Source organism: Homo sapiens, chromosome X, assembly GCF_000001405.40.
Source record: "Homo sapiens chromosome X, GRCh38.p14 Primary Assembly".
Taxonomy (NCBI): Eukaryota; Metazoa; Chordata; class Mammalia; order Primates; family Hominidae; genus Homo; species Homo sapiens.
The window spans coordinates 39,303,515-39,328,006 of NC_000023.11; the positions used below are offsets into that span (position 1 = coordinate 39,303,515).

Consider the following 24,492-nt stretch of genomic DNA (forward strand, 5'->3'; position numbering starts at 1 on the left):
AGTTGCCCAAGGCATTAGGAGCCCACCTCTTGCATCAATGTACCCTGGATATGGGACACTGAGTCAAAGGAAATTATTTTAGAGCTTTAAGATTTAATGACTGCCCTGCTGGGTTTAGAACTTGCATGGAGCCTATAGCCATTTTCTTTTGGCCAATTTCTCCCTGTTGGAATGGGGGTATTTATCCAATGCCTATACCCCCATTGTATCTTGGAAGTAACTAATTTTTTTTTTTATTTTATAGGCTCATGGATGTAGGGCACTCTAGCCTTGTCTCAGATGAGACTTTGGACTTTTGAGTTCATGCTGGAATAAGACTTTGGGAATTATTGGGAAGGCATGGTTGTATTTTGCAATAGAAGAAGGACATGAGATTTGGGAGGGGGTGGGGTGGAATGATATAGTTTCGATCTGAGTCCCTGCCCAAATCTCATGTCAAATTGTAATTCCCAATGTTGGAGGTAGGGCCTGGTGAGAGGCAATTGGATTATGGAAGTGGGTTTCTTAAGAATGGTTTAGCACCATCGCCTTGTTGCTGTTCTCATGATAATGACTTCTCATGAGATCTGGTTGTTTAAAAATCTATGGCACCTCCCCCCTCACTCTCTCATACTCCTGTTCCTGCCATGTGAGATGCCTCACTCCCCCCTTTGCCTTCTTCCATTATTGGAAGCTTCCTGAGGCCTTCCCAGAAACAGAAGTGCTATGCTTCTTGCACAGCCTGCAGAACTGTGAGCCAATTAAACCTATTTTCTTTATAAATTACCCAGTCTCTGGTATTTCTTTATAGCAATGTGAGAATGGACTAATACAGTGGAGAAGCACAAAGGCTGGGTCTAGAGTGGCAAACAGAATATCCAGTCCAGGAGGTCCCTGAAGTTGGCCAGGCCAGAGGTGGAAGCAGGTGAAGTTACTTTTGAGACCATGGAGTTTGAATAGCCTGAGGCACTCTCTAGTGGCAGTGGTGAGTGATCTGGAGACACCAGGCTGAAATTCCTACTGCTAGAGGATCATTTCTTGGATGCTGAGCTTTTCTAATGAGTACCTACTTCTGAGAGGGGCAAGACTTTGTTTCCCATCTGCCTTTAACTTCAGTGTAAAATGGAGCATTGATGACAAGTAAGGACAAAGCCTGAATGAATCTTTGAGAAAAAAGGGCCGTGTGGAAAGGGGGCCCCCATATGTCTCCATGAAGCCATGTTGGAACTTTGGTAACTACAGGCCAACAGGAGGGGAAGGGAGACAACACAACTCTGGAGACAAAGGGCTGAGAAAATAGAGTGCTGGAAGACATCGGAGAAAAGCTTAGCTTGGGCAGCCAGTGTCAAGGCCTGATATTATCTAGGAATCTGTAGAATTACACAGAAAAAAAAGCCAGCTTCATGAAAACCCCATTGTTATACATACACATGGTTCCTGCAGCCACACATAGGCAGTACATAAAGACAATTCCCCTTTATTAGTCTGGTAGGGCTGATGTAACAAAGTGCCACAAGCTGGGTGGCTTAAACAACAGGCATTTATTGTCTCACAATTTCAGAGGCTAGAAGTCCAAAATCAAGGTGTCAACTAGGTCACACTCCCTCTGAAGGCACTAGGAAAGGATTTGTTCCTGGTCTTCTCTCTTACCTTCTGGTAGTTCCTTGGCTTTTGGTCACATGATCCCAATCTTCACATGGTGTTCTCCTTGTTTGTGTCTTTCTGTGTCCAAATCTCCACTTTTAATAAGGACACCAGTCATGTTGAATTGGGGACCACACTAATGACTTCATCTTAACTTTCATTTGCAAAGACCCTGTTGCCTAATAAGATCACATTTTAAGGAATTGTGGTTTAAGACAAATCTCTTTGGAAAGTCATAATTCAACCTATAAAGCCTCCCAATACTCACATGGAGTTGTTGTGACTCACTCCTCCTAAGGTCAATCTTTGTATGGAGTCCAAGGAGTCTTGGGGATGGCAGCCCCAAGGTTTGTGAGCATTGGCACAGCAATCCTCCCTATGGCTGCAGAGCATAGGACTGGCATGGAGCCACAGGGAGAGGAGTCCTTCCTGGAGGGCTTTAGGGAATTTTTTACATAGAAAATACAAAATATAAGCAGAGAGACCCACATTTGAATTTTGGGTATCTAGAAACTACAATAGTGACATGGTCTATTTATTAAGCACTTGAGTCATACCAATGTCTGGACTTGGATTTCCCCTTAGCAGACCCCAAGACGAGGATTTGAGTGCAATCATTTATTTGGGACGTGGTCCAGGAGGCACATTGGGAAGGTGAAGCAGTGAGAAAGGGAGAGAGGAAAGCCAGTGGAGAGTGAGCAGATGTGTGTATTACCAGTGTGGGCAACTGGGGCTCAGGCCCATGGGAGGCCTCTCAGAGGCTGCATGGATCATGAACATGCCTTGGAGTGGAAGCTGGGACTTTTATCCAACAATTCCCATCTCTCATTGGTGGAGGGTTCCTCCAGGGCCAAAGAACAAGCTCAGGCAGAAAGACGCAGGAAGCCACCAGCAGAATGACAGCTGACTGCAGTTAACCTCCTGAGTGGACCACAGGGATGTGGGAGGGGCGCCAACAGCTTCTGGTGGCCCCATATGTGGCACTTGAACCTCACAACAGAACTTTAAAATAGGTATTCTTATCTTCACTCTGCAAACAAGGAAATGAAGGTTGGGGGGTTAAAATTATCCCAAAAGTCATAATTTAGTAAGTAGCTTACCCAGGATCATAACTCATTTCTATATTATTTTGGGGCCAATATCCTGAAGCATCAAACTTTATGACTTCCCAACTGATCGGTGTTTTGTGTTATCTTACTCTGAAGAGACAGAATTTTTTTTTCTGAGCTGGGTCTTAAACTAATAGTGACTCAAAGTAGAGACACACAGTGACTCTGTAGAAAGGTTACACCCCAATGCCAGCCTTGTGAAGATGAGCTTAGTTCTCTTGAAGTTTCTCTGCATGGTGCCCTGAGATTCATTTTTGAGGATATGTGGATAGGAGGGAGAGACCCCTGCCCAGACCCCCTGTTGAAAGCCTTTCATGGGAGTGTGGCTGGATGTCAGGGCAGAGCCCCATGGCAGCCACATCCAAGTTTCAGTTGGCACCCGTATGGTTCCCAGACTTGCTGCTGCCTTACGTTCCCAGTAGTTCACAAGACCTGGGGCAACAGGGAGACCCTGAAGTGGGGCCACTTAAGTCTTCCCATCACCTACCACTACGATGAGATTCTCCCCCGGTTGGCTTGGAGTGACAGTGATAGATTAAATGCACCAATTAAATTAGATCCTATTTTAAAGAGCTTGAGCTGGATTTACTTTTAATTATAGTGCTGTGCTTGCTGATGAGGTATTGTTGAGGACTTAACAATGGTTGATTGTGCATCTGAGTGTTCAGAGAGCAGTTTCTGGGAGATACTGGGGATGGGTTTCTTCCTAAGGAGCTCCTTGGGATAAGACAGAGGAGGGAGGAGGCAGGTTGAGAAGGAGAGAGGGAGGGGAATATGTCCTATCTCCACTGAGAATCCATCTCTCTTCTTCTTGTTTTCTGCTTTATGAATCCCATGTTCTTTGGAAACTTAACGAGCCCAGCACAAGGTAGAGAAATGGGCCAGAGGCCATGGAGTCAAGCTGGCTTGGGGCCCCATAATGCCTCTGCTCCACTTAGCTGAATGTACTACCTGGGCCCAGGTAACTAACCTGTCCTATCTGAGCCATAGTTTGCTTTTAGTGTTTAATTAATTCATTCAACAGGTATTTCTTGAGCTTCTAGGATGCACTAACATTGTTCAAGGTGATGAGAATAAAGCAGAAGAAAAAACAATAAAAACAAGTATCTGTCCTTGTGGAACGCACATGCTCATGGCTGGGGTCAAGGTGCGGGGGCAGAAATAAACAAAGATAACACACAATATCATGTAGTGGGTGACAAATGCTAAGAGAGAAAATGAAGTGGGTTTAAAACGTTGTGGGACAAGAGGCTGTATTTTAGACAGTGGTCAGGAAAGGTCTCTCTGAGGATGGCATTTGAGCAAATTCTGGAAGCAAGTGAGGGGCTAATCCATGTGGCCATCTGGGAACAGCATTCTAGGCCAAAAAAAAGAGTAAATACAAAGACCTTGTACCTGGGCTGGTGGAGTCCCAGCTGCCCCCACTAGACCTTCTGCCATGCTAGCAGCCAAGCCGTGTCTGTGACCACTTCTCGCTGCCTTAAGGGAGACAGATTCTCAGACCTTTGTGATAGCCCTTCTGGAGGTTCAGCCACTGGAGGTGTTGACCTACATACAATCTGGCCCAGGAGGGAGTGGAGTGCCAATGTACTGATTAAGTGATGCATGCTCACAGTCCCCATTGAGTATGCTACTTTCAGGACCCAATTCTTTGCTGTAATGAAAAAGAAGAAGGATTCAGAACAAAAACTCATGAGCCAAGTTTACACATAAATAGCTTTACTTGACAAATACTGTGGACCATAAATCTAGATGCTTGGGTTTTGGTCTCTTCTTTGCCTGACATTTGCAAAGTAAGTAAATTTGGGCAAGTTTTTTACCCCTCTGAGCCTCAGTTTTGTGTTCTATAAAATGTAAAAATGAGAACAGTGTACTAGACCTGGATGATATCTTGTAGCTAAGGATAATGTTGGGAGCAAGACTTTGAGAATCATGGAATCATGGAAAAGAAGATTTAAAAAGGCCTAGGAAGAGGTCAGAGAAGCTCCCAGACTTAGCCTCCAGACATGGGAAAGTTTCCAGAAATCTTTGCTTCAGGCTTGGAAGTGACAGCCCCATCAGTGGCTGGGGTGGCAGAAGAGTTCTTCCCATGACTCAGTTAGGTTCTCCAGAAGCAGAATGAGATAAGAACCCAAGTGAAAATAGTTTATTTTGGAACTAATCCAAAAAAACACTAGTAAAGCGAGTGGAGAAATAAAAGAAGGCATCACCAAGTCAGTTGCCACTGTGGGCAACTGGAACTTAATCCTGCTAGAAACCACTGAAAGTCAGCACAGAATGTGTGCCTCAGAGTTAGCCCACCTGAGGGTGATGAAGCTGGGGTATTTATATACCCAGTCCTGTCTGTCAATGGCTGAGGGTTGCTCTGCAGAATTAGGAGGGATGTTAATCCTTGGTACTTCTGGCTGTCAGCAGCAACAGGTAAAGTATGCTTCTTGTCCTAAGAAAGCCCTGAAGCAAGGGAATAAAGGAATTGCTGGCTGGGAGTTGGGTGGTATTCTTTAAAATATTAGCGGCAAGAAGATATGGGTTGGATTCTGACACCATCTACTACAACCTCCAGAATATGCAACACTGCCCCAGATCAGCCTTGCAGGGAGAAGGCCCTGAGCTTATGCTCCAGACCCACATCATAGTGGGCCACCCCTCGGTTGCAAGTGACAGATCTGCTCCCTGATCCAAGGTCTACACCTGTGTGGTCAGGCCTCTGGCCTTTGGGAAGTATTAGAGACAGGAAGCAGGAAAAGGAAACCCATCTAAGAGAGACAAAGCTTAGTGCTCCATGCAGTTCAGTTTGCCATAGAAGCACCATGTGCTCAGCCCCTCAGATAGTGGACGATCCTGGCAGGTAGGGATGTTTCTGTGTGACGCCCCCTGCAAGGAATGCTATTCCCTGACTGTCAAGAGAGTAGCTGGCAGTATTGTCATGTCAACCAACAAGAGCCCACCCAAGGACGCTGCTGGTGACAGAAGAGATGGAACAGAAATGGCCATTGCCAGGAAGTGCACCTCTATGGCAGGTGGCCAGAACCAAGATAGTTAGTTTTCCTTGCTCTTGACATTGTGATTGTGACCCATATTATGCACACACACTCCCTACTCTAGACTGGTTGGGCACTGGAAAACACCTGTCATAATGTTGTGCTGACTTGCTGGGTAAGCAGGAACAAGTGGGTGTCTGTGTTTTCCCCTCCATAAAATGATTCAGATGGTACTGGTTCCTTGGCCTCCACCGTGGGAGGCAGCAAGAACTGACGCAATCACGTCTGGGAGGCATTTGGAGCATCTTGAAAGAAAGAGGTTGTCAAGAATTCCTGTTATAAGATCCTAAAGTATTTTTTTCTTTTAATTTTAAACCTTATGAGTTTTCAAATTACATTTAAGGTATTTCAAACCAGCAGCTGTTCTGAGAGCTGCTGACCACAAAGTGAAGGTAAAAATAAAATTCGAATTAAGAAGATGTGCTCCTGACTTGTGGCCAGATTCCAGTTTGGATCTTAAAAGCTTCCTCCCTGGCCAGCTTCCTGTGTTGACCCCCAGGGTCACTTAGCTCTGAGCGGCTGTGTATTCTTTGCCATTAGATATTGAAAACAGGAAATGAAGGGGCCTGTCGGGGGATGGTGAAGCTTGAAACAACTTCAGAGAACAAGCTGATGAAGTCATAGATCTTATCTCCTTGCCTTTTCCATGTCGGGTTTCTTTAAAGATAAGGTAGTGAATCAAAATGTGCCGCTTTTTTTTTCAAGATGGAAGCAGAGGAGGATTACTTTAATATCCCCTTCCCTTCCAGTGTTTCCAAAGATAACCAGATGAGAGAAATGCCTCGATCCTGTGCACGTGCATGTAAAATGCGATTACAGGACAATTTCCCCATCTTGGTCCCTGAGGGCTGGGGGAAGAGAGGGAGGAGAGATGACGCTTGGGATGGAGAGGAGGCAGATAGCCATTCAGACTTGTGTTGTTGTGTATGATGATGATGATGATGTTGATGTTGTTGTTATTGTTGTTTTGTTAAGGCAGTGCTCAAGCTAGAGGTGTCGTTGTGGGCCTATGGCCAGTTTATACTGTAGAACTGGATGACCGGCACTGTCAGGGGCTGGAGGGAAAAGAAAAATCTTGTGTATTTGGATGGGACACACCCAGCTAGAATGCCAGTCCTGTGGGCATATTCCTAAGTGCTAGATCCCCAGACTGGGCTGGCTCAGACAGCAGTATTATGTGGAGAGTGGCTGAAAGCACCCCAGGAGGACAAATGTGAGATGGGACCAAGGAGGGAAGGCAGGCATTGGAATTGGACACATAGGTCTGATGGGAGGGTGAAAGGCCATGGGTCATGAGCACAGGCACTGAGAGGAACAGGGAAGGTGGGAGACGGGCGTGGGACAGCTCAAGGGAGCAAAGATCTAGGGTGACTAAGAACACAGGCAGACCTTGGATCTCTTTGGGACTAGCAGACTTCAGTTCAAATCTGACTCTGCCACAGGGATGTGATCCAAGCCTCAGTTTTATTTTCCATAAAACTGGTCAATATCTCTATCATGGGATTGTTATGGAGAGAAAACAAGGTCACCTTTTTTTTTTTTTTTAACATGCTTGAGGCTGTGAACTGTGCAGGGTGCTGTAAGGATGTATGTATGTAGTTCCACAAATTTGGTGCTCGGGGAGGAGCAGCCCGCCAGGTTAAAGGGAATACGCAAAAGTAGATGCTAAGCTTATTTATGAAACAGCTTCTTTGGCCTTTTGGTGAACCTAGAGAACAATTTACTTCTGGCAAGGCAAAACTGTGATGAGAAAAAGATTCCGGGCTTTGTGAGCTGTTTGGGGCAGCTCCCTGGGAAAGGAGGCCCCTTGACTCTCTTGAGCAGTAGACACCTGGCTTTGGCCCTGCCCTACCCTGCCAAGGGTGATAAATGTGGGTCAGGCCCTACAGAGGTCAGGCTTCTTCTCTCTTGAGGCAGTTAGGGAAGAGGAACTTGCAGGAAATGAAGTAAGAAGGGCTCTATGGGGTTAAAGGGACTGGGGAGGCATGGCAGGCAAAACACAGAGGGGATTGGGGATGGGAGAGTTTATACAGTGCACGACCTACACAGCTATATAGAGGAGCCCAGGAGTGGGGATGTGAGAATCAACAGAATTAATTAGAGCAGAGAAAGGCAACAGGCAGGGCAGCAGAGAGAAGAACACAGGGGACGGCTGTTCCAGGTTTGATTTCATGTGCAGTCCAAAGAGAACTGAAAGGCTGTTGCCTTTGTTGTTCTTTCTTCTGCTGAATAGTCTATCATAAATGAAAAAGCACAATCCACGGGCTATCTGCTTGTCCCAAAAGAAGGAAAAGAGAAGATGAGTTAGTATCCCCAGGAGAGGGACTTATCAAACAAGCTTGCTGTCCCCTCCCCACTTCTCTCCATCCCCCACCCTGCATGGGGATGAAGGAAAGGTGAGAATGCTCCTTTCTTTTTCTGGAGCTACAAGAAGAGATTCTCTCTTCTACTGGATGGTAAAGGGCAAATACAGGAGGCTCTGCTACTCCTGGGCTACCTACAACCCCCACAGGAAGGCCTGTGAGCACTTCAGCATAGATAGGGTGGGTCGAGTTCCTCTGAACTACATTGTACTGTGCTGGTTGCAGAGCAAGGCCCAGAATGGGGTGAGGGCATGGGTAGGAAGCCTGGTAGAAGAAATGTTTACCTAAGAACCCGTTGTACCATGAGAGAGATCATGGCAGCCCAGGGTTGGAGGTTCTTAGGCAGTTGTTTCATTAAGCTCTTAGGCAGTGGCTCTGACATGAAAGAAAGGTGCCCATCCTGGCACCAAGTATCTGTCAATAGGCACTTTTTTTTTTCTTTTTGGTAAAGATGGAGGTCTCAATATGTTGCTCAGGCTGGTCTCGGACTCCTGGCCCCATGCCATCCTCCTGTCTCACCCAAAGTGCTGGGATTACAGGCATGAGCCACCGCACCTGGCCAATAAGCATTTGTTCAACGAACGAATGGATGCTGGATGAGAGCAGAGGGGTAGCTAGGAGCACAGCACAGTGAGTGTGCCACCCTGTAACAGTGAGTAACTGACCTAAGAAGGAAGAATGTGGGGCCCCTGATGGATACAAGGCTCTGACTCTGGAGAGATGGAGAACTGAGCCGAGAGGAGCAAGCTATGCACGAGATGAGTGGATGAAGGACAGTCACATCTGAACAGGAACTGAGGAGGGGGGCTAGGGCAGGCTCACATAGGACCATCCTGTTGCGGCCAAGGAGAGAACTTCAAGCCAGAGTTCCAGAAATTTCACTGAGGTAACCAGAGCCAGTGACTATTCTTGGTACTGTTACTGGGGCCTTTTCTTATTCACACTCCAGCATCATGGGGGGAAAAAATAGATTATTTGAGAAACTCAGTTTATTCAGTTTCCTCAGTCTGAGGTATGTCTTTTTTTAATGTTCAACTTACTTTGATTAGAACTCCCCATCTTGCAATGTCTCTTCTCTAGCACCTGCTGCTACCCTTCCTTCTCTCTCTGCATCCCATAATGAGTCCAAGTGCTGCCAGAGCACACTTGCTCAAGGAGTCAAAAAAATTGAGAAAATCTTTTCCAGCCATGGTCTCATTATCATCATTCACCAAATGGTCCTTGTGTTCCTAGGCAACATGTTCCAGAATCTTAACAGAAGCTTGGTTTGGAACAGCCAGACTGGAAGCCGCCCAATATACATCAAAAAGGGCATGGATAGATGGATCAGCATATATTCATACAATGAAGTACTACAAAGCAAGGAAAATGAACAGCAACATGGATGGATCTCACAAATGTAATATTGAGCAAAAGAAGCCAGATGCAAGAGTCCAGATCACATAAGTTCATTTACGTGTCTATTTCAAAAGCAGGCAAGAGGAAGGTGTGGTGTTAGAAATTAAGATGTGTACAGTGGAAGAAATGGGCATAATAAGAAGAGGGCATGAAGGAGGCTTCTAGGGTGCTTGTTTTGCTTTATGTCTTGACCCAGGTGGTGCTTGACACAGATGGGGCTTGTGTGGTCATTAAGTGAGCTTCTGCATATGTGTGTTTTAATTCATAATAAAAAAGTTTAAAGTCCATAACGCCATCACCCAGGAAACAGGGAAATGCTGGTGGTACACAGTCTAAGTCCAACTTTGTTCCATGCTGTGGAACTAGGCATGCAACTCCAAGATTTACACTTGTCTGTGGTAGTCCCAGACCACAGTAGAACTGGGCTCCTGGGTTTTCTTTTGTTTCTAAACATCTGTTTTCTAGATGCCCTCCTAGGCAACTTTCCAAGGACACACCAGCTCAGCAATGCACCCTCTCTTTTCCTCTTCATGCATGAACACCAGGCTTCTTGCTTGGCAACATCATGCTCCTCAGTCCCTCAGGGATGGTCTAAAACCCCCAGAAAGAAGGTGTCAAGATTACTATCCCATTTTTCTTACAAGATCTCTTGCTCCTATGTACATTTGCCCTAACCTTCCCTAGAAAATATCAAGTTCCTCCTCCCTGAGCTTCATGGAGGGACAGTCTTTGACAAGCCTTCTCCATAGCGAGGGTTCTACTTGCCTTGTACCCACAAAACAAAAACGTCCAGCATCAGTGATGGGCTCTTCATAAACAGAATCGTCTGCTCCTTGGGGATTTGAGGTCTCTTCTGCTAGATATGAGGCAGCCTTTAACTCTTAATGATTTGCTTAACTGCTTCCTTGGTTCCTGACCATGTAACTGCCCACTTTTGCTGTTCATAAGACTGACTATTTCTACAACAAAGATAATCTCTTTTGTCTCTGTATGTCCACTTGTAGCACAGTGGTAACCCTGGCAAGACCCATCCTTACCCAACAAAGCCCCGCCCAACCAACAGTGTTGATTGAAAGAATAAGTGAATAATGAGCCAATTAACAATCACCTCCATAGCCTGGCTGGTCAGGATTTCAAGGGATGTGACTGGAGTGGAAAGCTACCTTTTTGTTAAAAAACCTGGAGAGGAGGTGAAGGGGAAGGACAGAAGGAGAAGAAGGAAGAGAGGGAAAGGGAGGCTAAGGAGGGGAAAGGGAAAGGAAGGTCAAAGGTAGAGGGAGAGAAAGAGGAAGAGAGGAAGAAAGAGAAGGGAGGGGAGAGGTTGGGGAAAGTGCAGGGGGCAAAGGAAGGACAGAGGGAGGGGAAGGGAGAGGAAAAGGAAGAAAAGAGGAGGAGAAGGAGGAGGAGAAGAAAAGGAAAAGGAGAAAGAGAATGAAGCTCTTGGTAAGAGCCAGGAAAAGTCATTTAGTTAAGCAAGAGCATCCAGTTCATGGGCTTCCAGGATGGTTAGCCTTAAGCCAAAGACCCATGTTGAACCAGCAAGAATGCAAAACCTTTGTAGCAAGCCAATTTCTCTTAGCCAGGGAGGCATGCCTCCACGTAGAGGAGCATGGCCACATAAGTACAAGGAGATTTGTCATCCAATTGAAAAGTGTTGTAATCCAAGTAATTTATTTCCAAAGTTAGGAGGACTTCAAGTTCAGCCTAATATCATCAACTCACAAAACACACTCCCTTATCACACACACTCATACCTGCTTTCTCAGACCATATAAAAATAGGGCCTGCAGGCCTCAGCTTCCTTTCTCCATCTGTCCACTCCTCACCATACCACAATTCTCCTTTCACAACCCTAGGTTCTCAAGTATTTCCTAGATGATCAGTGGGAGGCCTGTGCCCCTTTCCTTGATGTGAATCTCTTTACTCACCTCCTACCAACAGCCTCCTTTCATCCAGGAATTGGTAAGAATATGACTGGTGAATCCATTTGTAGAAATGCAGTTGCTCATTGTATTAGTTAAAGTAAAGCCAGAACGAGCCTAACACAATGGAAGTGTTTTTTTGTTTGTTTGTTTTTTTTCAGGTAAAGTACACTTGGTGGAAGAAGCAGGGACTTTTCTTCACACAGTCACTGAGGTGTTCAAACCTATGGAGAGCTCTGCCTCTCTGACAGTAGAAATTCTAATTCCATTAGTTCAGGGTGGGATGTGTGCACAGAATTTTGTTTTAAGTATCCTGGTGTCTCTCTTGGGCAGCCAGGGCTGAGAATCTCATCCTGTCTTCCAACACCATTGTGGGCATCAATATCCAACCCCCAGATATGGGAAATGGAAGAAACACATCAAAGGACCATGTGGGAAATACAGATAGTTTTTGACTTACAGTGGTTCAACTTACTATGATTAGGCTTACAATTTTATGACTTTACAATGGTGTGAAAGTGATACGCACTCAGTAGAAATTATAATTCAAGTATCCATACAACAATTCTCTTTGTCACTTTCAGTACAGTGTTCAGTAAATTACATGAGATATTTAACATTTTATTATAAAACATGCTTTCTATTAGGTAATTTTGCCCAATCATAGGCAAACGTGTTCTGAGCATGTTTAAGGTAGGCTATGAGGTTGTGTAGGTTGGGTGCATTAAATGCATTTTCAACTTATAATATTTTCCAATTACAGTGAGTTTTTCACAGCATAACCCCATCATAAGTCAAGGAGCATCTGTATTTATGGATCGGACCAGGAAGTAATATACATCACTTCTGTCTACATGTAATGGGCCAGAAGTCAGTCACATGGCCACAATTTACCCCAAGGACCACTGGGAAACATAGTCCAGTTGTGTACCCAGGAACAAAGCAAAATGTTTTTGAGGGACATCTAGCTAGTCTCCACATATCCAAGATTATTGCTGTCTCTGAAATATGATCTTAAATTTAGAGAATACATCTCGGTTTTGTTTGTTTTGTATGACAAAAATGATATGGAGACTGAGGGAGTTATGAGTTCTAGAAGTCCCTGGGGGAGTTAATGGCATGGCCCTCTATTGACGTAGTCTGACTTGGAGATTGTGAATGATGCAATGTTCATCAACCTTTGGGCTGATCCAGGGATGTAGCCACAGAACTAATGGCTGTTGGAGGGGGTTATGGTGAGGACTGGGGAGACAAGAGTCTTCTAGAAAATAATGTGAGAGTCAAGGCTGTGAATGGCAGAACAGAACCTGGGGGAGCAGGGAGAAACAACTGGAAGAGAGAAGAGGAGAAGGGCCGTAGCCTCAAAAATGGGTGAAACCATATACACTGTGGAATACTATGCAGCCATAAAAAGGATGAGTTCATGTCCTTTGCAGGGACATGGATGAAGCTGAAAACCATCATTCTTGGCAAACTATCACAAGGACAGAAAACCAAACACTGCATGTTGTCACTCATAGGTGGGAATTGAACAGTGAGTACACTTGGACACAGGGCAGGGAACACCACACACCGGGGCCTATCGGGGGGTGGGGGGCTGGGGGAGGGATAGCATTAGGAGAAATACCTAATGTAAATGAGGAGTTGAGGGGTGCAGCACACCAACATGGCACATGTATACCTATGTATCAAACCTGCACATTGTGCACATGTACCCTAGAACTTAAAGTTAAAAAAAAATGGATGAAACACAGCCCTTGTCTTTAGGAATTCATAAACTCTAGGGAAATAACAGGTGTTTGCCCAGGTCCTCATAGTGGAATGCTAACTGAATGGATGAATGGGTCTAATGCACAGCCTGGTCTTTCAGGCTAACAGTTTTTCAAAGTTATTGTGCCACTGAGACTTTTGAGAGTGAATGAGGTTGCTAACTAGATAAGGTACTGAAGTAACAGAAATAAACTGGCACTGTCCCAGGAAAACTGGACAAAATAGTTACCCCATTCATGGAAGTCCTATCAATCCATACACCATGGGCATTCCCTCCAGGGCCCACCCTCTGAAAAAGGTGGACATGATTTGAGGCTTGTGGGACTTTCTTGCAAACATATGTGCTCCATAAAGCTGAGAAGCTGCAGATGTCCTTGCAATAAAAATCCATAAACTAACACCTTTTCCTCAGCAACTGAGAGGTTCTGGACACCTACTCACTGCTTAAGCTCTTCTTTTATCATTTATGAGCATTTCCCAAACATCTCCTTCTCAAGCCTTCACAGAAGTCGGTTGAATCTGAAACTCTTAGCAGGTCCCTGAACCACACAGCTAAAAAATTACATGCCATGCACATCTGCAGTGAGGAACGTGAGGCTTTCTAGGGGAGATTTATTGCCTCCCTTCCCTCCACCTCTTGGAAGGTTTCTGGATGCTGTTCCTTGTGTATAGCATGTGCCTCCGGCTTATCACTACAGTAAGTATAAAAGCAATTAATTTTTCCCCCTTTTGGAAAGTGGAAGTTTTAACCGCACTTGAATACCATTTGCATTTCTGATTTCTATCAAGTTCACACTTCCAGCAAAGAGAGTCCTGCTGATATAATTTTTTTATTGCATATTCTCTAGTAGGAAGCTGCTTCTTTTGCCTCTAAAGCAGAAAACATGTACACATTGGGAGGTGCTCAGCTCTTGACCTCTTCTTCAGGTTAAATCACCTTATTGGTATTAGGGAGGCGAGGACAGGTGGGGAAACTTGGAGCAGGGCCCTTCTGCATTTTTATATAGATGCTCACATATGCTGAGCTTGTGAAAATTAGTTGCCCGATTTGAGTGAGGTGGGCAGGTTTCAAAAGCCATCTCTTTGTACCTGGTTGTAATTTGCTCATACATTCAGAGAAATTTTATTAAGACATACCAGATTTATTTCTTGGTTTTTTTCACTGGTTTATATCCTTTTACACTGTTCTGCTTCTACATCATTATTTAGACCTACAGAATATTTAGGTTATGAGGGGCCCAAGGAACCATGTGATCTGCTGATCTTCTCATGTTATAAGTGAGGAGACTATGGTAGGTCGAATAAATGGTCCTGATGCTTCTTCACCCCAACCTGCAGTCGCATCATGGTCATGGCATATCATGGGTGGAGCATACTTTCTACCTCTTGATTTGGGGCCAACTGACTTGCTTTGGCCAGTGGAGTGGGACTTATGCTAGTTCTAAGCCTAGGCCTTAACAGGTCTCACATATTTCCACTTCCTCCTGATACCTCTGCTGTTGCAGAGAACATGCCTGTTGTCTTAGTCCATTTGTACTGCTATAACAGAATACCTCAGAAATTTATTTATTTCATAGTTCTGGAGGCTGGAAGTCCAAGATCAAGGCACTGACACCTGGGTGAGGGCCTTCTTGCTGCTTCTTCATGTGGCAGAAGGTGGGAGGGCAAGACAGATGAACTCTGTGCCCTCACATGGCAGAAGAGCAGAAGAGAGTGAACCCACTCCTACAAGCATTATCAGCATTAATTCATTCATGAGAGCAGAGCCTTCATAATCTAAACACCTTCCAAGAGGCCCCACCTCCCAACACTGTTGCATTGGAGATTAAATTTCAAACATATGAATTTTGGAGGAGACAAAACCATTCAAACCATAACAGCTGTCTAGCCCACTAGCATGTGGAGCAGAGTTAGCCCATCCAAGCCCCAGTCCTGTGATATGAAGCAGAACCACTACAGTCTGAAGCATTGCTGCTAAGCTGAGCCCAGACTAGATTGGCCAAACCCCAGCCGACCCGCAGATCTGTGATACTAATTGTTATTGTTGTATGCTACTAAGACTGTGGGTATTTTTACATGCAATAGCTAACCAATACAGACACTGAAGTTCAGAGGGGAAAGGTGGCCCTGTCATCGTCACACAGCTGGCTTGTGTCAAAGGCAAGATTAGAACCCATGCCCTCTGCTCTTAGCCCTGTAGGAGTTACCCCAGGATTTTCACACACATGTGAAAGATGCTGTTTGGTCGTAGGTCTTGCAGCTTTTGGAAAATGTAGTTTGTAACAAATCGTTGAGAGAAAACAGATGAAACTTTACATGGCTCCAGGGATTAATAATGTAACAGGGATTGTTCCACTTCTGGTTTGAAGTGAATCTGAACTGGCTGTTCCACCCTGTCTCCTCCTCGTCTCTGACAGCTGTGGAGCTCCCCAGGAGGAAGGGTTTAATGGCTTGGGAGCTGCTCCAAATAGCATCTGCAAGAACCAGATCTTGAGCAGCCCTGGAGACCAACAATGACTGGAGCTGAGATTTGGCCCTTTTCTAGACAAGCAGGAAGCCCAAGCCCCAACCTCAGCACTCCCAGACCCAGGCCAGCCTATGTGAGAAACACAAGGAAGACCCTAGAAAGATAAGCTGTCCCCACATCCCAACTCTTTCCCTACAAATGTTGAAATCCCATGTTTAGAACTTTATTTCCTTATGCTCATTAGCCCTGAGATGCTAGTATGTGATGGCATGCACTTAGAGAAGAAGTCACACTTGCTCTTATATTAGCCATTTATACCTCCCTGCAAATAATGATCCCACCCCATTTTCCAGGAGTTACCACCTACTGACCTGTCTCACCTTGGCCTGCAGAGAAGAAATACCTGTCATAATTAGAGTGGCTGGCAGAACTTCTGTGTATTACATTTTCTTACCAGTGGCTGCATAGCTGCTTGCTTCCTGGCATAACTCTGGAGCTTTTATCATACTAAAGGACTCTTTCTTTTCACCATCTTTAAAGCACTCTGTCTTGATATGGGCTTTGGCTCCAGATGGAGGGTGGGTATGAGAAATGGGGAAAAGAAAATCTCAGGATTCCATATAATTATATGTCTGATATTCTATCAATATCTTCCTCCATTCTATGTTATAAGTTCAAGGAAGGGAGAGATTACATCTCTCTCATTCTCTCATATACCTAGTTCATATCACAGTACCAGGCACATAAGGAGCATCAGTAAATATTATACAAGTGAATGAATGAATGCTTGAACAAATGAACACAGCTGTTCTGGTGATAACCCACAGATGACATCTTTGCACACCCAGCCTGCCACAGTTCAGCATGTCAGACCTGGGCCTGTGGGCCCTTTGGCATCTGGTTGAGGCCCCTCTGCTGCTCCCTATGGCACCATGCCACACTAAGCTTGTCTCAACACATCAGTCACTGCTGAGCTGACATCTCTATCAAACAGGCCTCTCATGACTAGAAGATACAGGGAAGAGGATGGAAACTGTGGCAGCCAGGGCAAGTGATCAAACTCTGCTGCCCAGTCCCAACCCTGAATCCGCTGCCAGGAGATGGTGAGCTGGCAGCATCTGCTGCTGTCTGGGACCAAGGCTGTTCATCTAGTGCCTGGTGCCAGCTGGGCAGCAGAGCAAAGTCACCATGCATAGAGGAGTCCAGACTGGCAGGTGCCACCAACTGCCTATGAAAAGGAGGAGAGTCTGACAGGAAGTGTCTGATGAGGTGTTCATGTGGCCTTTATCCTCACTCACTGCCATGAGAGGTTATCCTCACTCATGCCTGAGTTCAGTTCAGAGGGAGCAAGAGAAAAAAAAAAATCCTGTTTTCCCCTGCGTGCTTCTAATTTCTCTAGTCCACGTATACTGCTTAAGTGTGGGTTACCCTGAAAGCAGACTCTAAGATAAGGAATGGGTTCAGGCAGTTTATTTGGGAGATGATCCCACAAAGCATGGATGAGGGAGCAGGGAAGGGAGGAAAGCCAGTTTAGTGTGTGCTAATGAGCTGTGGATGCTTGCTGGAGATCGGTCCTGCTGAGAACCCTCTGAGAAACCAGGTGGAGTACACCTCAGGGAATGGGAGGCTGGGTATTTATCCAACAACTTCCTGCACCCCATTGCTTGAGGATTGACCTCTGGGACATTAACTCCCTTACATTTCCAAAGTCGTGCCTGTGCTGAGCTAAGAAGACTCCCAGGGTGCTGGAACAAATCATCAGGCAGAGAAGCTGAGAGGTACAGGTCCTTGCAGAGGGAGAGCTGTAGTGTGCTCTAGAATTGTCCACCTCAACTGCAATGAAGTCAGGTAGGTCTAGACAGTATGGGTGGGCTATCACCAGGGTCTGCATATTTTGCTTACAAATGTTCTAGAGCTAGAAAACATGGGTCCCAGGCCTCTTCCATGTAGCTGAGAGGTCTTAGCCAAGTAAGCTCCCCCTCAGCCTTGACTATTCCATCCAGAAATACATATATATTAGATTTTGTCCATCTAACTTTGAGGGACTGTTATGGGAACCAAATTAAATCAGAGAATCAAATATGAATTATTTCATTAACATAAAATCCTCTTCCTTTAATTAACTTACCCAAAAAGCTATATTGTTCACCTGTCAGTAGGTTAAATATGAAGAGTTTCCAAGGATACGAGTTGTCAAAGATACTTTAAGAAACTGAGGGTAAAATTCAGTTTCAGATAAGAATGTGTCAATGAGTCAATCTGCAGTGGGTTCCAGATATTTCTCTATATACATTTGGCCACATGGAAAGGAAGACTGTCATTACCTCATTCAAAGAATTCTTCCCAGATTTGGCTGGCCCTGCTTCAGCTTGAGTTATTATCCTCCCCTTCATGCAATCTCCTTCCCCACAAATTCTCCTGTTTCTCAGGGTGATGCTAAGAACTTCTCTGCCTCCTCGGTTCCCCGTTATATTAGTTGAGGCAATGCTGACAGCTATAACTTATGAACATCCACAAACTCAAGGGCTTATGACAACAAAAATTGTTTTACTATCACTCACATGACAATCCAGCCTGGGTGATCCTAGTTGGGCAGAACCCCTCCATACAATGATCCAAGAACCCAAGCACTTTCCATCTTGTGGCTTTGCCATCTTCAACACAAGGCTCTCAAAGTTGCCATCTTCCATACAAGGCTCTCAAAGTTGCTTTGAAGTTGTTCTCTATTTGCAGCCAATTGGAGAGGGAAAAAAAACGGAAGATGGAATGGAAGGTTTTCAACAATCCAAGTCTGGAAGTATTGCACGTCACCACTTGCACCCATGTTCTTTCGGCCTGAACTCAGTTAACATGGCCAAAACTAACCACAAGAGAAGCTGAGAATTATGGTCTACCCGAGTGCCCAGAAAGAAGAGAAAATGGCTTCAGTGGTCAGATAACAATTGCCAACATAGCTTTGATATTTATCTGATCAAAAAAGAGCTAGATCAGGTGGGAGTTCAGCAGACCAGGAGTCATTGCCAGGAAGCAAGTCAAGTCCAGGGAAGTCAGATGAGGCAAGTGATGAGAGCCAAGCAGAGATCATGGTTGAAGAAGCCAGCACTGTAGCTTTATCTTACTCATTGGTGCCTATATACCCACCAACTTACCACCCAGAAATGCTTAATTTTCCTCAAAACACTATAAACTTCCAGGTCTTTGCTCTTATTTCTTCTCCTGACTGGAGCCTCTTTCAACTTCATCTAGCTGATCAATCATATGATAGCTCCAAGGAACCATATTAATGCACTTACTTCTGGCATTAATGCCCTTCTGTAATCTCCCCTTGAATCTGGGCCGGTCTCCTACGATTACCTTTAAGTGACACTTGAATAGCTACAGGCCTAATATTTAAGAAGACTTGGCAGCTTTTGTTTTTCTGTTCTTGGGAGCCTGATTCACTGTCTAAGAAATCCAGCTGACTCTGTAAGAGAAAACACGTGAAAAAAACTATGTGGACAGAGGCCCAAGACTACTTGGAGAGAAAGAAAATCTCAGCTGAATTCAGCCATCAGCCAAACTGCCTGCTGAATTCAATCATAAAAGTGATTACCAGCAAAGCTAGCAGAAGAGTCACCTAGCTGATCCCAGCCCAGATTGCAGAATCACGAGCAAAATAAAACGTTGTTTGAAGATAAGTACTGGAGTGGTTTTAGGCAGCACTGGATACCTGCTGGATACCTGGTTCAATGTCTATCAAGTTTCATGCCAGCCTCTGCCTCTTCTTAGATGCATTTTCCTTATTTCTCTCTCTACTTTCTCTAACACTTCCCTCTTAGCATGGTTAAGAATCTGACTTTTTAGATGCACTTCCACAGAATCCTACACACATATCTCTTCTACCGTTTCTCACTCAGTATCATATAATTTACTTTCTTGTCCCTCTACCTTTAAGGGCTGTGCACTTTTTGAAAACTGGAACCAAATCTTATTCCTTTCTGTGTTGTTTGTGCCTAATACAGTGTCTTCTCAGACAAGTAGGTGCTCAAAAGTGATTCTTAAATAATAAATCACTGTTTCTTAATTTGTTCATGAACTTGAATATAAGTGGTGTCTAAGAGAAAGAGAGACCAAGGGAATAAGAAGGTGTGCCTTCAACCCAAAAATTCATAAAGGAAATTCAGAACAGGTCCGTGTGAGAGAATTGTGCTGGATAACTGGATTCACTTTTCTCAAACTCCAGTTGAACCACTTTCTATTTGGGTATATTGGAAAGCTAAAAACTACATATTGGGAGAAAAGCGAATCCTTACACACTGTTGGTGGAAATGTAAATTAGTACAGTATTATGGAAAACAGTATGGAGGTTCCTCAAAAAATTAAAACTATAATTGCCATATGATCCAGCAATCCCACTGCTGGGTATATATCCAAAGGAAATGAAATCAGTATATCAAAGAGATGTCTGCATTTCCATGTTCATTGCAGTGCTATTCACAATAGCCATATATGGAATCAGCCCAAGTGTCCAACAACAGATGAATGGATAAAGGAAATGTGGTATATATTCACAATGGAATACTATTCAGTCATAAAAAAAGAATAAAATTGTCATTTTCGACAATGTGAATGGATGAACCTGGAAGCCATATGTTAAGTGAAATAAACCAGGCACAGAAAAACAATACATGATCTCACTTATACGAACAATCTTAAAATTTTTTGATCTCGTAGAAACAGTGAATAGAACAGTGGTTACCGGAGATTGAAGAGTATGGGGGAAGAGGGGATAAGAAGAGGCTGATCAATGGGTAAAAAGATGCATCTAGAAAGAAAGAACAAGTGCTAGTGTCCTATTATACAGTAGGGTGACTATAGTCAACAATAAGGTATTGTATATCTCAAAATAGGTAGAAGAGCAGTTTTATATGTTTCCACCACAAAGAAATGATAAATGTTTGAGGTAATGGATATGCTAATTGTTCTGATTTGCTCATTACAAGATGCATACATTTATCAAAACATCACACAATACCGCATAAATTTGTACAATTATTATGTGTCAATTAAAAATGTAAAACAAAATAAACCATATTTTGAACATTACTTTAGAACTAGAGTTCTGCCCATTTGATATAATTCTGAGAGATTTGGAAGGTGAAAGGGAGGTGTAGGTCATCTTTCCAAGGCAATTCAGGTGGCCAAGTAGGCTCTGGCCACATGAATCCTGTCAGTAACTGGACACCATAGTCTGCTGTGTGGTCAGCAGCTTTATGGATGCAGGTGGCTGTGGAGGCAGTGAGAGTAAGTTTCCTGACATCTGGGTTATAGCTGTATGGAAAAAGTGCTGCAAGGGCATGGGACACTGGAAAATACCATTGGCTTTGGTCCAATGATTGCTGACAGGCCTGGTGGTCAAGAGCAAGAGAAGATTCCAATAATTGGGAGACATTATTTCCTCATGTGCCAAGGATACCTAATCAGAGGATGTCTCTGGGAGCTTCCTGAGAACAGGGACCACATGGCTGAAATCCAACATTTCGATTCAACATACCATCTGGAGGAGCTGGGCAGCATGAATACAAGATCAGCATCGGGGGCAGGGAGATTCTGTATCTTGTCTAGAGTCTGTGAAAAGAATCCAAGCTAAAACTCAAAAGATGGGGTACTGTGGGGTGAGTCTCAACACCATACAGTCAACCACATTTTATAACATGGTGTTGATAAGGCTCTGAGTGAGGCAATGTTGATTTGTCAATGATGTATATTTTCCCAGAGGCCAGAACATAAATTAAAATTTACTCTACTTTCCTGACAAAAGAAAATTTTAAAACACCGAACCCTTCCTGCAAGGGACATCTCTATGTAAATGATGGAAACAAGATCGCATAATGGTTTGGAGCAAGGACTTTCACATCAAGAAGACCCGGGTTTGAGTCTCAACTCTATCACTTTCCAGTTGTTTAATGTAAAATGAGTTAATTATCCTCACTGAGGCCCTATTTTTTAGTTTGAAAACCCTCATATGTTGCTGTGATGATTAAATTAAATGTTGCCTTTGAAAGCACATAACACAATGCCTGGCAAACAGTAAGTGCTTAAAAAATGATGGCCACTAACCCAGTGGATTGTGAGAAATAATCAAAAGCCAGTCTAGGGTAATTTACTCACATGGAATCTATTGTTAGCATTTGAAAATTCTTTGAATGATAAAAAAGAGACATAAAATTAAGATATTATTTATAAATATATTTATATTCATAATATAATACTAAATAGAAAAAAATGACATTTTCTGTAACTGACAATGATAAAATATTCATTTTAATATTTAATTATTAAAGGTTTACAATATGCCAAGTGTTGTGAAGCACCTTATATGCACTAAATTATTTAATATTCTGAAAAATCCTATAAGTTAGATACTATTATTACTCTCATCTTACAGATGAGGAAACTCAGGGCACAGAAAGACTAAGGAACTTACCCAAGGTCACACAGCTAGTAGGGTGCTGAGTTCAAATTTATCCCCAGCTGCTCTAACTAATCAGCAATTAACCACTACCATAAAATGCCTCTCATTTGCAGAATATTTTAGGAGAGTTGCAAGATCAGAACTTATTTGTAAGCAGGAATTGTTCTGTTATTAAAAAACTTACAACAGAGACTAGAAAAAGAAATATATTGCTCATGTGAGTAAATATTTACATACACCAAAATATTTATGTTCATATATGTGAGTACTGCTTTCCACAGGGGGAGAGGAAAACGTGTAAATATTTACTCACTGGAAATAGCTGACAAGTAGTTAGGAAATAAGAATATTTATACTGTACATTGGTTTTGTGCTGTCAAATTGTTTCATCTGGAGTCTATGCACTAATTCCCAAATTGGACATGCAATACAAGAATCCTGAAATTGTAAATTCAGAGCTCCATTTGGAGTTACCTAACTTGGTTGTGAGACTAATTTCAAAACAAAGTTAATTCTGATTTTTCTAAATCATATTTTCTAAAAATGTACACTGCTTTTTAAGATGTCCTGATTCTTTCTAGGAGAAATTATCCTTAGGCTAAAAATCAAAGGCCCTGTCTTTATGCCCTGAGCCCCATGCTGTGGGTTCTTGCTAGGAGACATACTCTGGGGACCACTCCTGGGCCAATAGTTAGAAGTGGTTGGGAAGCAGGTCAAATAGTTAATAGGCCAGACAATGGCCCAGATTGCTAGTGACTCCCAGACAGCCAAAGATAGAAAAATTTTCAAATAAAAAAATTACATAAGTAGTTGGGATTTTGAGAGATATTATAATGAAATAGAATTCAAATAAATGAATAAATATATATTATGGACCTAGTGTACTGGCTTTGGACTGACACTTTCACATGCCACTGTGTTTAGTCCTTACTGCAGCAGATAACTTTTGTATCAGTTGGATAACCTTTAACTGCAAATAACAAAAAATCTCAGTGCAACTGATTCAAACAAAGGATTTACTCCCTCATGTAATAAGGAGGTCTAAAATGTGGATGCTCTAGGATTGGTTAATTCAGTGATTCACCTCAGTCATCTAGGTCTTATGCTCTTTCTATCTTTCCCTCTGCATTCTTGGTATATTATTTTGTCCTTGGCAAAATCGCCTCATGGTCGCAAGACGGCTGCTGGAGTTCTGGAATTCATTTGCAGATATTATAAGGTGTAATAGAAAAAGTAGAGTTTTTATCTCAATACATCTCTCTTTATCATCCAAATCTTTCCCAGAAGGCTTCCAAAGCCTTCCCCTCCCAGAGCACTGGCCAGAATTAAATTACACACCCATGAGTAACCAATCACTACCAAAGGGAGTGGGACCATCATACTTAACTTAGGCGAATCATTTCTTGTAAATTTGAGAATTAGGGCATAGACTCCAGTTCTCTGGCTCGTGAGGCCAAGACTACAGCCTGCTTCCTTTGAAGCATGTGGCCTCACTGAACAAGGAGGATTCCTGAATGACATTGAGGTTTTGTAAAAAAGGATAAAGAAGGTAAAAAGTTACCGGGTAGGCAACAGGGTCCACTGCATCCCATTTGAAACGTGGGGAAAACGAAGCTCAGAGAGGTTGTGACGTGCATTTAATAAATGCTACAGCTGCAATCCAAATCCAGAGTCTTTTTCTGTCAATACCATGGCTGCCTTAAGTATCTCCAACTGCTGTTGCTTTTATGTTACTGGAACAGTTGGGTGCGTGGGCACAACTGATGTTTTCCACTGAGCTCCCTTCTCTATTTCCTGTCTAGACGATTGTGAAAGGGCTGCTTGTGTGAATTTAATTCACTCATAGGCATTACCCACCTGCCACGGGCTACAAACCTCATTCCTCCCTCCTTCTCCAGCAATATTGTCAAGAGGCCACACTTTCCCTAGCTTGGAGATCTGCCCAGAGGAGCATCTCTGGACCTAGGCGGGAGGAGTGAAAAGCCAGGGAAAGGACTATGGCTCCTTGGCCAGCACTATTTTTGCTGCAGGTGCCTGAGCTTGTCCCACACTCTGTCTCCACCATGCTTAGATTCTGGCTTCCCAGTGCTCAGTTCCTCCAGCTTGGGTTGTATATTGCCTGTCATCCAGCTCCCTGCCCCTCTGGCCCCTGCAAAATATATGCTCCTCTTTCCTTATGATGATGTCTTCAGTATCTCTGCATTTCTGGAGCCTTCCCTGTCTCTTTGACATAGACCAGGGTGCTCCTCTTTTCAGTTTCCTTTGCCTTTAGAACATTCCTCCCCTCCCACTTAGGGTATTGTCTTATATCAGGTTGTCATATATTAGTTTGTTTCCACATTATA

At 43.6% G+C, this 24,492-nt stretch overlaps 1 long non-coding RNA gene across 1 annotated transcript; it reads right to left on the reverse strand.

Moving 5' to 3' along the window:
• Positions 1–1,441: 1,441 nt before the first annotated feature.
• LINC01281 (long intergenic non-protein coding RNA 1281) lies at positions 1,442–23,848 on the reverse strand. The gene is made up of 4 exons (NR_038968.1): positions 23,709–23,848; positions 18,255–18,416; positions 4,128–4,386; positions 1,442–2,653 (listed from the first exon to the last, which is right to left on the reverse strand). It is a non-coding gene; the product is annotated as a long intergenic non-protein coding RNA 1281 (long non-coding RNA).
• Positions 23,849–24,492: the final 644 nt, after the last annotated feature.